The sequence below is a fragment of the Homo sapiens genome, chromosome 22 (assembly GCF_000001405.40).
Source record: "Homo sapiens chromosome 22, GRCh38.p14 Primary Assembly".
NCBI classification, from domain to species: Eukaryota; Metazoa; Chordata; class Mammalia; order Primates; family Hominidae; genus Homo; species Homo sapiens.
The window spans coordinates 17,636,309-17,648,972 of record NC_000022.11 but is presented as its reverse complement, the minus strand read 5'-3'; the positions used below and the strand labels follow the sequence as shown (position 1 = coordinate 17,648,972).

Here is a 12,664-nt window from a genome sequence, read left to right as displayed (position 1 = left end):
ACAGGGTAACACCCTGCCTCTAATTAAAAGAAAAAAAAATTGATATTCTCTAATTTGTTGTATTCAAATTTGTTGTATTTATCAAGAATCCACATCACTGAAGTCGTTTGCCAACCCAAAAGCCAGAGACAAACTACAAATCACTAAGTTTCCAAATTTGATTTTTAGCCTAATGTTCCTCAAATTTTCTTATAAAACCTGATTGTGTAATTATAAATGCAATCTTAATCATGAATTTCATCATCTTCCACCTTTAACTCTAGTATATATGCTAAAGCCCATATATCTATATATTTGGTGAAGGATTATATTTATTCATTTAAATCTAGTATACAGTTTTCAGACTTTAAATGCATATTTGTTATTCTGGTTATAAACATAACAGACCTACAGTATAAAACAGCCATGCAACTTTTTTTTTTAATTTTTAAATTTTTTGTAGCGATGGAGTCTCACTATGTTGCCCCAGCTGGTGTCAAACTCCAGGCCCCAAGTGATCCTCCAACCTTGGCGTCCCAAATTGCTGGGATTACAAGCGTGAGCCACCATATCTGGCCCCAACTTCTAATTTAGCTTGAGCTTCCAGTTGTGTAGCAATGCAGCAGCTCCTTCAGGACTATGGTTAAATGGGGAAAAGTCAGATCCCAAGAACACTATTATGTAACTAGCACATTTATATTAAATTATAGGACAAAGGTATTGATAACAGGCCAAGTGTAAACTCCACAGCACTACTACAGGGTTATGTCTCTAAGCACAAAATGGGAGAGGACACCCACTTCCTTTGCAACATTCTGCAGTGTCTAATAAGTATATTGCACAATGAACTTTTGCATTTCTTTTTTTTTTTTTGAGACAGAGTCTCTGTCGCCAGGAGTGCAGTGGCATGACCTCGGCTCACTGCAACCTTCGCCTCCTGGGTTCAAGCGATTCTCCTACCTCAGCCTCCCAAGCAGCTCGGACTACAGGGGTGTGCCACCAAGCCCGGATAATTTTTTGTATTTTTTAGTAGAGACGGGGGTTTCACCGTGTTAGCCAGGATGGTCTCGATCTCCTTATCTCCCGATCCGCCCACCTTGGCCTCCCAAAGTGCTAGGATTACAGGCGTGAGCCACTGCGCCCGGAGGGACTTTGGCATTTCTAATAAACATCATATATAAATTACATCTTCGTGACATCTGTTTCTAAAGCATTTTTCTATGTGTTGTCACAGTAATCCTCTATACTTGAATGAAAATTTTATAGATGGAGAAACAAGAACAATTTATTTGCCTAAAATCATACAGCTAGGTAACAGCACAACCACTTAATTGGGTACACCGTCTTCACTTCCTCTTAGACCTTAACTGTATTTATTCAACACATATTTACTATATGCCAGGTAATGTACTAGGTGAGAGGAATGCAGAGGTGAAAACACTAACACTAGTAATACGGAAGGATACGGTAGCAAAACAAGGTGGTTTTTGTAGTATCACAGATCCAGAGTACTGAAAGAAGCAAATTTGTCAGTTTTGAGAATGGACGGGGGGAAAAAAAAGCTAGATTGGATGAAAGGTAATTATGACGCGGGACCATCACCTAAAGCTTTTGTAGAAGCACTTTGGGAGGCCAAGGCAGGCGGATCACGAGGTCAGGAGTTCGAGACCAGTCTGGCCAACACAGTGAAACCCCGTCTCCACTAAAAATACAAAAATTAGGCCAGGTGCAGTGGCTCATGCCTGTAACCCCAGAACTTTGGGAGGCCAAGGCGAGCGGATCACAAGGTCAGGAGATCGAAACCAGCCTGGCTAACACGGTGAAACCCCGTCTCTACTAGAAATACAAAAAAATTAGCCAGGCGTGGTGGCAGGTGCCTGTAGTCCCAGCTACTTGGGAGGCTGAGACAGGAGAATGGTGTGAACCCGGGAGGCGGAGCTTGCAGTTAGCCAAGATTGTGCCACTGCATTCCAGCCTGGGTGACAGAGCAAGACTCCATCCCAAAAAGAAAAAGAAAAAAAAAAAAAAAAAAAAAAAATATATATATATATATATATATATGTAGTTTATACACACACACACACACACACACACACACACACACAAATTAGCTGGGCGTGGTGGCAGGCACCTGTAATCCCATCTACTCTGGAGGCTGAGGCAGGAGAATCACTTGAACCTGGGAGGCAGAGGCTGCAGTGAGCTGAGATTGCACAACTGCACTCCAGCCTAGGCGACAGAGCTAGACTCTATCTCAAAAAAAAAAAAAAAAAAAAAGACAGATATTTCAAGATTCTTTTCAAATGATGAGAGGGACATATAGTTACCTTTACTCATTGAATTTTATCTAATAGGACCTCTTAAAATTCAAGTTAGTACAAGTGTTCTTGGTATCCAGAAGTGAGTAAATACATAGATGATCTTAACTATAAAAATTGCTATCTTGGCCAGGCGCAGTGGCTCATGCCTGTAATCCCAGCACTTTGGGAGGGTGCGGTGGGCGGATCACCTGAGGTCAGGAGTTTGAGACCAGCTTGACCAATATGATGAAACACCGTCACTACTAAAAATACAAAAATTAGCCTGGCGTGGTGGCATGCACACCTGTAATCCCAGCTACTCAGGAGGCTGAGACAGGTGAATCGCCTGAACCCAGGAGGTGGAGGTTGCAGTGAGCTGAGATCGTGCCATTGCACTCCAGCCTGGGCAACAAGAGCGAGAAACTCTGTCTCAAACAAACAAACAAAAAACCTGCTATAATTTGTACGATTCAAACTATTAAACATAATATGTAACCCACCTGTTTCTTTCTGTGCCTTAATCTTTTTACTTTGTTCCTCTATTAAGTTTCAAGTAGAATTGTCCCTTGGTACCCATGTGGGATTGGTTCCAGGATACCTGTGGATACCAAAATCCTCAGATGCTCAAGTTCCTTATACAAAATGGTGTGGTATTTGTATATAACCTACTCACTTCCTCCCTCTCATATACTTTTAAGTCATTTCTAGATTACTTATAATACCTAAGACAATGTAAATGCCATTAAATAGCTGTTATACTGTATTGGTATCATTTGTATTGTTTTTATTGTTATTTGTGTTTTTTTCCCTAAATATTCTCCAATCAAGACTGGTGGAATCTGCAGAGATATGGAAACTGGATAAAGAGGGCCAACTGTGGTTGCTAGCCAAACAGCCTAAGGAAACCTAGACTAACTTCATGCTGTGTTTATGTATTCATTTGGTGTCATCTCCAAAACCAGCCACAAATAAAACATCCATGAACCTTTAACAACAAATGTATATCCACAATTCTACAATATATGGTTCATTTTCTTTTCTAAACCAGATTTCTATTACAAGTACCAGTCCAAGTTCCAGAATGCTACCAGTGCTGATTATATTGTAGGAATTAGACACATTTTATGAAACATAATCAGAAGGTACACAGCAGCTATTAAATCCTACTATAAACCAGGCATGGTGGCTCACGCCTATACTTCCCAGCACTTTGGGAAGCCAAGGTGGGTGGATTACTTGAGGCCAGGAGTTAGAGACCAGCCTGGCCAACATGGTGAAACCCTGTCTCTACTAAAAATAAAAAAATTAGCCAGGCGTGATGGTGTGTGCCTGTAATCCCAGCTACTCAGGAGGCTGAGGCATGAGAATCGCTTGAACCGAGAAAGCAGAGGTTGCGGTGAGCCTAGATTGCACTCCAGCCTGTGTGACAGAGTGAGACTCTGCCTCCAAAAAAAAAAAAAAAAAAAAATCCTACTATTAGTTCTTATGTAAAGCAAATATGCAGCAACATGACAGTCTTTTGTATTTGTTTCCCAAACTTGTCCCATCAAATTACTTTGGATGCCTATTTAAAAAGAAATTCCTAGGCTGGGTGTGGTGACTCATGCCTGTAATCCCAGCACTTTGGGAAGCCGAGGTGGGTGGATCACGAGGTTAGGAGATCGAGACCATCCTGGCCAACATGGTGAAACCTCGTCTCTACTAAAAATACAAAAAATTAGCCAGGCATGGTGGCGTGTGCCTATAATCCCAGCTACTCAGGAGGCTGAGGTGGGAGAATCCCTTGAACCAGGGAGTCAGAGGTTGCAGTGAGCTGAGATTGTGCCACTGCACTCCAGCCTGATGACAGAGCAAGACTCCGTCTCAAAAAGAAAAAAAAAAAAAAAAGAAATTCCTAGCACTCACATTAGATATACTAATTTAGAGTATCACACTTATACTGTATTCTCTAACCTCACAGAACGAAAACCAAAACACCCTATAGTTTAACACATTTTAATAAATTATTTCAAAAACCTGTTTCTAAATTTCCTTCCACTAAAATATTATAAGATTATTAAATGCAGTCGGGCGTGGTGGCTCATACCTATAATCCCAGCACTTTGGAAGGCCAAGGCAGGCGGATCACGAGGTCAAGAGATTGAGACCATCCTGGCCAACGTGGTGAAACCCTGTCTCTACTAAAAATACAAAAATTAGCTGGGCGTGGTGGCACGCACTTGTAGTCCCAGTTACTTCAGGGGGCTGAGAGAGGAGAATGGCGTGAACCCAGGAGGCAAAGATTGCAGTGAGCCGAGATAGTGCCACTGCACTTCAGCCTTGTGACAGAGCAAGAATCTGTCTCAAAAAAAAAAAAAAAGAATTATTAAATGCTCCAGTAATACAGAGTTGAACACAACTATAATCCCAGTTTATAAAGAGAAAAATAAAAATTCACAGATAAATCCATCACAAATCAAAAAGCTGTAATTTTAAACATTAAAAGACCAGGCAAAGTTGCTCATGCCTGTAATCCTAGCACTTTGGGAGACCAGATGGGCAGATCACCTAAGGTCGGGAGTTCGAGACCAGCCTGGCCAACATGGTGAAATCCCATCTCTACCAAAAATACAAAAATTAGCTGGGTGTGGCGGTGTGCATCTGTATTCCCAGCTACTCAGGAGGCTGAGCCAGGAGAATCAGGCTTGAGCCCAGGAAGCGGAGTTTGCAGTGAGCCGAGATTGCACCACTGCACTCCAGCCTGGACAACAGAGTGAGATTCTGTCTCAAAATAAAAAAGTTGGCCGGGCGCCGTGGCTCACGCCTGTAATCCCAGCACTTTGGGAAGCCAAGGAGGGCGGATCACAAGATCAGGAGATCGAGACCATCCTGGCTAACACGGTGAAACCCCATCTCTACTAAAAATACAAAAAATTAGCCGGGCATGGTGGCGAGTGCCTGTAGTCCCAGCTACACACCTCCTGGCATGAACCCAGGAGGCGGGGCGTGCAGTGAGCCGAGATCGCACCACTGCACTCCAGTCTGGGCGACAGAGTGAGACTCCATCTCAAAAAATAAATAAATAAAATAAAAATAAAAAAGCAAACAACAACAACAAAACATTAAGTTTCTTGGCTATCAGCTCTTTAGTCTCATGACTCACTGGTGGCTTGAACAGGGAATTTTTTTTAAGTTCCACAAGTTAACATGGAGTCCAAAGCTATTTTCTAATCCATGCTTTGCCAGCTCCTATTGAATTGTAAGACTTTCTCTGAAAGAGAGTAAAATAATTCTAATAAAAATTATGAAATGGCCGGGCGCGGTGGCTCACACCTGTAATCCCAGCACTTTGGGAGGCTAAGGCGGGCGGATCACCTGAGGTCGGGAGTGAAGACCTCACAAGAGTGAAACTGCATCTCAAAAAAAAAAATTATCAAATGGTAAAAAATTCACCCCACCCATCTGAAAAATGCAACTGGACAAGTATCATTTTTAAAACTCAGCAGACACTAAAACTCTAGTGTAGACACTACCCCCTTTCCAATTAAAACAGGCCTAATTGTTCAATCTTGTGTTAGAGCTACCCAAAAATATTTTCACTCAGCAGTTGGCATTTGCAGATAATTCAGAGAACTGCCTTACTTTCATCCCGTCCTAGATAATCTGACTTTCACAATAATTAGGCTTCCTGTATATGGCTTGTGTAAATGGAGGACATAAAATTCAGTTACTCTGTTCCACTTCCAGATATATACCAGAGAAAAATGAAAACGCATCTGCACAAAAATTTGCACATGAATGCTCAAAGCAGCATTACAGACCAGGTGTGGTGGTTCATGCCTATAATCCCAGCACTTTGGGAGGCAGAGGCAAGAGGATCACTTGAGTCAAAGAATTTGAGACCAGCCTCAGCAACATGGAAAAACCCCATCTCTACAAAAAATACAAAAAAAATTAGCTGGGTATGGTGGTGTGTGCCCATAATCCCAGCTACTTGGAAGGCTGAGGCAGGAGAATCGCTTAAACCCAGGAGGCAGAGGTTGAGGTGAGCTGAGATGGCACTATTGCACTCCAGCCTGGGCAACAAGAGTGAAATGCCATCTCAAAAAAAAAAAAATGCCCATCAACTTATTTTTAAAATGTGGTATGTCCACACAATGGAATAGAATGCAGCAATAAAAAGGAATAAAGTACTGATACACACTACATCTTGGATAAACTCTGAAAACATTATGCTAAGTGAAAGAAGCCAGACAGGCCGGGCGTGGTGGCTCACGCCAGTAATCCCAGCACTTTGGGAGGCCAAGGTAGGTGGATCACCTGAGATCAGGAGCTGGAGACCAGCCTAGCCAACATGGCAAAACCCCGTCTCTACTAAAAATACAAAAATTAGCTGGGTGTGGTGGCACGCACCTGTAATCCCAGCTACTCTGAGTTACAGTTACTGAGACTGAGTTACAGTCTCAGTCTACTTTGGGACTGAGTTAGGTTCAACCTGGGAGTCCGAGGTTGCAGTGGGATCATGCCACTGCACTCCAGCCTGGCGACAGTGAGACTCCGTCTCAAAAAAAAAAAAAAAAAAAAAGAGAGAAGCCAGACACAAAAGACCACATATTGGTCAGGCGCGGTGGCACACACCTGTAATCCCAGCACTTTGGGAGGCCGACATGGGCAGATAATAAGGTCAGGAGATGGAGACCATCCTGGCTAACACAGTGAAACCCCGTCTTTACTAAAAATACAAAAAATCAGCCGGGCGTGGTGGCGGGCGCCTGTAGTCCCAGCTACTCAGGAGGCTGAGGCAAGAGAATGGCGTCAACCCGGGAGGCGGAGCTTGCAGTGAGTCGAGATGGCACCACTGCACTCCAGCCTGGGCGACAGAGTGAGACTCATTCTCAAAAAAAAAAAAAAAAAAACACATATTATGTGATCCCATTTTTGTGAAATCTCCAGAATAGGCAAATCCATAGACAGAAAGTAGATCAGTGGTTGCCCAAGGGTGGGGGTAGGAGGACCAGTAATAAAGAATGACTGCTAATGGGTATGGGAGTCTCTTTTTGAGGTGATGAAAATGATTGTGGTGGTGGGTGCACAACTCTGTGAATATACTAAAAAGTACTGAATTGTACAATGGTGAGTTGTATGGTACGTTAATTATATGTCAATAAAGTTGTTAAAAAAAATCAGCTACTCCAATCCTTTTGCGGTTCATAAAGAACCAAGATGACTGGGTTTCATGCTAATGCATGACATGTGCCTCCCTCAAATCATGTTGCCTCATGGGCTTATTGGCACATTACCGTCTGAGGAAGAACAAGAAAAAAAAATAAACCAATCTGAAAATACCACCCACCCCCACTTTGTATATATATTAAACAAGAACTCTTGGTGAACATTTATTTGGAATAAGATACAAATCAAAATCCTGTCTAAAAAATGATAAATGCAGACTGGAACTAAGTGAATGTTTAACACTTGTGTTTTGTATGCCTGAAGTATTTCACAATAAAATACATATCTATTTAGGCCGGGCGCAGTGGCTCATGCCTGTAATCCCAGCACTTTGGGAGGCCGAGGCGGGCAGATCGCGAGGTCAGGAGATCGAGACCATCCTGGCTAACACGGTGAAACCCCGTCTCTACTAAAAATACAAAAAATTAGCCTGTCGCGGTGGCGGGCACCTGTAGTCCCAGCTACTCGGGAGGCTGAGGCAGGAGAATGGTGTGAACTCAGGAGGCAGAGCTTGCAGTGAGCCGAGATCGTGTCATTGCACTCCAGCCTGGGCGACAGAGCGACACTCCGCCTCAAAAAAAAAATATATATATATATATAAAAAATTAATAAACAAACATATATATATTTTTTGAGTCAGGGTCTCTGTCATCCAGACTGAAGTACAGTGGAGCAATCACAGCTCACAGCAGCCTTGATCTCCCGGGCTCAAGCAGTCCTCCCTCTCGCCTCAGTCTTCCAAGTAGCTGGGACCTATGCCTGGCTAATTTTTTTTTTTTTTAATTTTTTGTGAAGACAAGGTCTCCTTATGTTGCCCAGGCTGGTCTCGAACTCCCGGGCTCAAGCAATGCTCCTGCCTGAGCCTCCCAAAGTGCTGGGATTACAGTGAGCCATCGCAAACAGCCAAATGAAATGTTGTTAATGATTATTACTGTTGCAAACCACTTGTCCTAAAAGCTTAATGTGTGTGATATTTAATACATGTTGATTAGATTATGTGCTAGTAAACACAAGTCTGTTTTTTTACAAGACTGGTTAGATATAGCCTTAGGCATCTTTCAATTGAATTCAACTACTGGTCCTTGCTGTAGGAGACAACTAAAAATAAAATAAAAAGTGAATCCAACTACTGAATATACTCTTCCACATAAAAAATGAGCCATTGGAAAAAAAATACAGAACAGTACCTGACCATTCCTAGTAAAAAGATTTTCAATACCCTTAACTGCCTATTACCAAATGAAGAATACTTCACTTGGGGGAGAGAGGGTGTTAAAAATGAAAATAATACTTCATGCGGTGGCGCGGGGGTGGTTGAAAAAAAGGTATCACCGTGCGCGGTGGCTCACGCCTGTAATCCCAACACTTTGGGAGGCTGAGGCGGGGGGATGACCAGAGATTGGGAGTTCGAGACCATCCTGACCAACATGATGAAACCCCGTCTCTACTAAAAATACAAAATTAGCCCCGCGTGGTGGCGCATGCCTGTAATCCCAGCTACTCGGGAGGCTGAGGCAGGAGAATGGCTTGAACCCAGGAGGCGGAGGTTGCGGTAAGCTGAGATCGCGCCATTGCACTCCAGCCTAGGCAACAAGAGGGAAACTCTGTCTCAAAAAAAAAAAAAAAGAAAGAAGGTATCTGAAGGGTGTGGCAACTCATCCAAGGTCACACTAGTCAGGGCAGAGAGCAACATTCTGCTTTATACTAAACCTCCAGAGGAAATCTTATAATTTCGCCAAAGAAGTTTTTGTTTTGTTTTACGCAACAACAACAAAAAAATAAAAGTAAGGAGGGAGGGCTCTCAGCTTAGTTCAAACTTCTAAACAGAGACAGTGAGATAGCTATTTTGAATAAACAAACACTTGTGCAGGGAGTGGCTAAGAGCTAACCAAAGCCAGCAGTCAACAGCATGTGAACAACTGGCCAGATCCGTCCGATTTTCAACGCTAGGTTAGAGCCTCCACTCAGAAAGTCGGTTATGAAGGCAAGAAATAGGATCTTTACAGAATGTTGGGAGGATAAATCAAAGGGGGAAAATGACTCCGTGTGAACTGTACTGCCTCCAAGGGCAAGAAGGCAGTTTTTTTCTGAAAAAATAGGTGTCAGAACAGCAGTGAATTAAGGTTAAGAAACAAGACTTCTAACAATCTCTGAGAAGAAACGACTAAGACTGGCAAAGCTAATCTTCCAGTGTTCTAAGTGAATCGCAGGAAAACCTTTCCCTCAACCAAAAAGAAGTCGCCGTTCCCCAGTTTAGCCCTAAAAATGGACCCGGGTTTTCCACGTGAAGCTGTCTGTGGGGAAGGACAGCGGCGTGGAGCCAGGGCCGAGCTCCTCCGCCTCCGGCACCCCACGCCGGAAGAAGCCTGCTCAGCGGCGGGGCCGCGCGGCCAGGTCCGGTCACGGTGAAGCGGACCCCTAAGCTCCGAGCACCTTCGGGCGAAGGAGCGCCGGTGTAGACACACACACTCAAACTCACGCGTCGTCGGAACCACTGGGGAGTCGGTGGCTCGATACGGTCTCTGGGCACTTTCCTACCCAGGTGAAAACCACCTCCTCACCCAGCTCAGCCTTCCCGGAACCCCACTCCCCTCACCTGGCCCTGGCCCCTGCCCCAGAAGAGATGAAAGAGGCGGCGGCGGCAGTTGCTTCCGACAGGGTCCCCCAGCGGCGGTGAGTGCTCCGACCCGCGGCCCTAATCTACCGCCGCCGCCATGTTGGAGGGTGAGGTCACCCCGGCGTGCCTTCGTCACGGCCGGCGTCGGGGCGGGACCTGAACTACCTGACATCCGGAACGGTATCCGGAGCGGAAGGACCGACCAACGGAGGCCCCGGAGGTCTCTCCGTCCAGATGTGACCTGAAGACCCAAACCCTCCTAGCCCGCCCAAATCTGATTGCGACGTTCGGAAGTTCCGTCTCTCAGATCATTTCCGGAGTCGAGGGGTTGGGATTCTGACCGGCTGGTCGCTGTGTTGGAGGAAGGGCAGGCGATTCCAGGGAAAGAAGCCTTGCTGCATGCACAGGCTATGTTCAGTTCCACAAACATGTATTGCGTTTCAAGTGTTTGCCAAGGGAGCAGGTCAAATAAGTATCTACACAGTCACGACAGCCTCGATGTTCGCCACTAGTTGGGGCAGATGGTCCTTGAAGGTTGGGAAGGAATTCCGGGGAGGGAATATAGCGGGGTGGTGTAGAGAGGTCCTCCTAGGCGAAGGGAACTGGCTGAGCAGAGGCGCCAGGGCATGAAGGAAGTCTTAACTAGTAACCCGCTTTTGTTAACAGTACCTGGAACACACAGCGCCTGGAACATACTTAACTTGTATTAATGGATGTTTGTTTACTTGAATCCGAGAGTTCTTTGGAGGAGTATCGGAAGGTATCTAGGAGAGAGGATACAGTGTGTTTTAGGGAGATCAAATTGCCCGTGGTGTGTGTACTGAATTGGAACAAGGAGGGCATTGACAATAAGGAGTTAGAAGACTGAGCCAGATCAGAAGTGATAAAATCCTGATGGGGAGTGACTGCCAGTGGATACAGAGTTTCTTTTTGGGGTGATGGTGGCACGACTCTTTGAAATACTGAAAACTACTGAATTGTACACTATAGGTGAATTCTATGTTATGAGATCTATATCTCAACAAGGCTATTCTAAAGGAAGTGATAAAAGAGTTGAACTGCTATTGTGGGGCTGGTGCCACAGGATGCTTTTTAAGCCCGAGTGACTGAGGAAAGGATGGTGCCATTAATAGGGACATAAAGTTTTGCAAAGGAAAGGCTTAGTGACCTTGGAAAACTAATAGTACAGGCCGGGTGTGGTGGATCACTCCTGTAATCCCAGCACTTTGAGAAGCCAAGGTGGGCGGATCACTTGAGGTCAGGAGTTTCAGACCTGCCTGGCCAACATGGTGAAACTCCCCATCTGTACTAAAAACACAAAAAATTAGCCAGGTATGGTGTCACGCGCCTGTAATCCCAGCTACTTGGGAGGCCGATGCAGGAGAATCGCTTGAGCCTGGGAGGCAAAGGTTGCAGTGAAATGGGTAACCAAAAATGAAGACTTTTTTTTTTTTTTTTTGAGGCAGAGTCTCACTCTGTCGCCCAGGCTGGAGTGCAGGGGCGCGATCTCAGCTCACTGCAACCTCTGCCTTTCGGGTTCAAGCGATTCTCCTGCCTCAGCCTCCCAAGTAGCTGGGATTACAGGCACCCACCACCATGCCCAGCTAATTTTTGTATTTTTAGTAGAGGCAGAGTTTCTCCACGTTGGTTAGGCTGGTCTTGAACTCCTGACTTCAGGTGATCCACTCGCCTTGGCCTCCCAAAGTGCTGGGATTACAGACGTGAGCCACCGTGCCTGGCTTTTTAAAAATTTTTAATAGAGACGGGGTCTCACCATGTTGGCCAGGCTAGTCTCCTACTCCTGACCTCAAGAGATCCGCCTGCCTCAGCCTCCCAAAGTGCTGGGATTACAGGGGTGCGCCACCGCGCCCGGCCCTAATTTTACTTTTAAGGTCTGTGCAGTTCACTGTATGTACACTTTACCTAAAAAAACTTTCAAAAATGTAACATGCAATAATTTATTTTGGGAGGTACTTATGTTACCAATTTGGTACATACTTAAGTTCATTTCTTTCACATTGCTCTCAGTCTTTTCCTTTATTTATTTATTTATTTTTTATTATTATTTTCTCGAGACAGAGTCTTGCTCTGTCACCCAGGCTGTAGTGCAATGGCGCGATCTCAGCTCACTGAACCTCACCTCCTGGGTTCAAGCGATTCTCCTGCTTCAGCCTCCTGAGTAGCTGGGATTACAGGCACCCACCACCACACCTGGCTAATATTTTTTTTTTGTATTCTTAGTAGAGATAGGGTTTCGCCATGTTGGCCAGGCTGGTCTCCAACTCTTGGCCTTGGGTGATCACCCCTCTCGGCCTCCCAAAGTGCTGGGATTACAGTCGTGAGCCACCATGCCTGGTCTTATTTATTTTTTTAGAGACAAGGTGTCGCTTCTGTTACCCAGCCTGGAGTGCAGTGGTACAATCATACCTCACTGCATCATGGACCTCCTGGGCTCACAATTGTTCCACCTCAGCCTCCCAAGTATCAAGGACCACAGGCTTGTGCCACCACATGTAGCTTTTTTTTTTTTTTTTCTTTTTTTTGAGACGGAGTCTCC

The 12,664-nt window shown here is 44.8% G+C and overlaps 1 protein-coding gene and 1 pseudogene across 21 annotated transcripts in view, besides 7 other annotated features; one reads left to right on the top strand and one right to left on the bottom strand.

Annotated features, from left to right (window-relative positions):
• Positions 1-12,664, bottom strand: part of BCL2L13 (BCL2 like 13) — a 101,979-nt gene that overhangs the window by 81,883 nt on the left and 7,432 nt on the right. For 8 of the 21 annotated variants that reach the window (NM_015367.4, NM_001270731.2, NM_001270734.2 and 5 more), the window contains exon 1: positions 10,087-10,216. Coding sequence is in view for 6 of the 21 variants with exons in the window: in XM_047441286.1 (XP_047297242.1) it covers positions 10,087-10,279 (193 nt within the window). In the remaining 15 variants the exon portion in view is untranslated. Of the gene's footprint in view, positions 1-10,086; positions 10,872-12,664 lie in introns of those variants that run through there. The other 13 variants (XM_047441287.1, XM_047441291.1, XM_047441290.1 and 10 more) reach the window with 3 other exon arrangements.
• LOC124905160 (uncharacterized) lies at positions 7,454-7,567 on the top strand (annotated as a pseudogene).
• Positions 9,334-10,206: an enhancer, noted in NCBI's record as "NANOG-H3K27ac-H3K4me1 hESC enhancer chr22:18121533-18122405 (GRCh37/hg19 assembly coordinates)". NCBI's record gives its function as "activates a minimal SCP1, AML or CMV promoter by ChIP-STARR-seq in primed H9 embryonic stem cells {active_cell/tissue: H9 hESC(primed)}" and the evidence as "EXISTENCE:reporter gene assay evidence [ECO:0000049][PMID:30033119]".
• Positions 9,334-10,254: a biological region, named in NCBI's record as "NANOG-H3K27ac-H3K4me1 hESC enhancer GRCh37_chr22:18121533-18122405".
• Positions 9,975-10,254: an enhancer, noted in NCBI's record as "active region_18626". NCBI's record gives its function as "activates an Ori minimal core promoter by ATAC-STARR-seq in GM12878 lymphoblastoid cells {active_cell/tissue: GM12878}" and the evidence as "EXISTENCE:reporter gene assay evidence [ECO:0000049][PMID:35858748]".
• Positions 10,207-11,078: an enhancer, noted in NCBI's record as "NANOG-H3K27ac-H3K4me1 hESC enhancer chr22:18120661-18121532 (GRCh37/hg19 assembly coordinates)". NCBI's record gives its function as "activates a minimal SCP1, AML or CMV promoter by ChIP-STARR-seq in primed H9 embryonic stem cells {active_cell/tissue: H9 hESC(primed)}" and the evidence as "EXISTENCE:reporter gene assay evidence [ECO:0000049][PMID:30033119]".
• Positions 10,375-10,554: an enhancer, noted in NCBI's record as "active region_18625". NCBI's record gives its function as "activates an Ori minimal core promoter by ATAC-STARR-seq in GM12878 lymphoblastoid cells {active_cell/tissue: GM12878}" and the evidence as "EXISTENCE:reporter gene assay evidence [ECO:0000049][PMID:35858748]".
• Positions 10,605-10,654: an enhancer, noted in NCBI's record as "active region_18624". NCBI's record gives its function as "activates an Ori minimal core promoter by ATAC-STARR-seq in GM12878 lymphoblastoid cells {active_cell/tissue: GM12878}" and the evidence as "EXISTENCE:reporter gene assay evidence [ECO:0000049][PMID:35858748]".
• Positions 11,079-11,951: an enhancer, noted in NCBI's record as "H3K27ac hESC enhancer chr22:18119788-18120660 (GRCh37/hg19 assembly coordinates)". NCBI's record gives its function as "activates a minimal SCP1, AML or CMV promoter by ChIP-STARR-seq in naive H9 embryonic stem cells {active_cell/tissue: H9 hESC(naive)}" and the evidence as "EXISTENCE:reporter gene assay evidence [ECO:0000049][PMID:30033119]".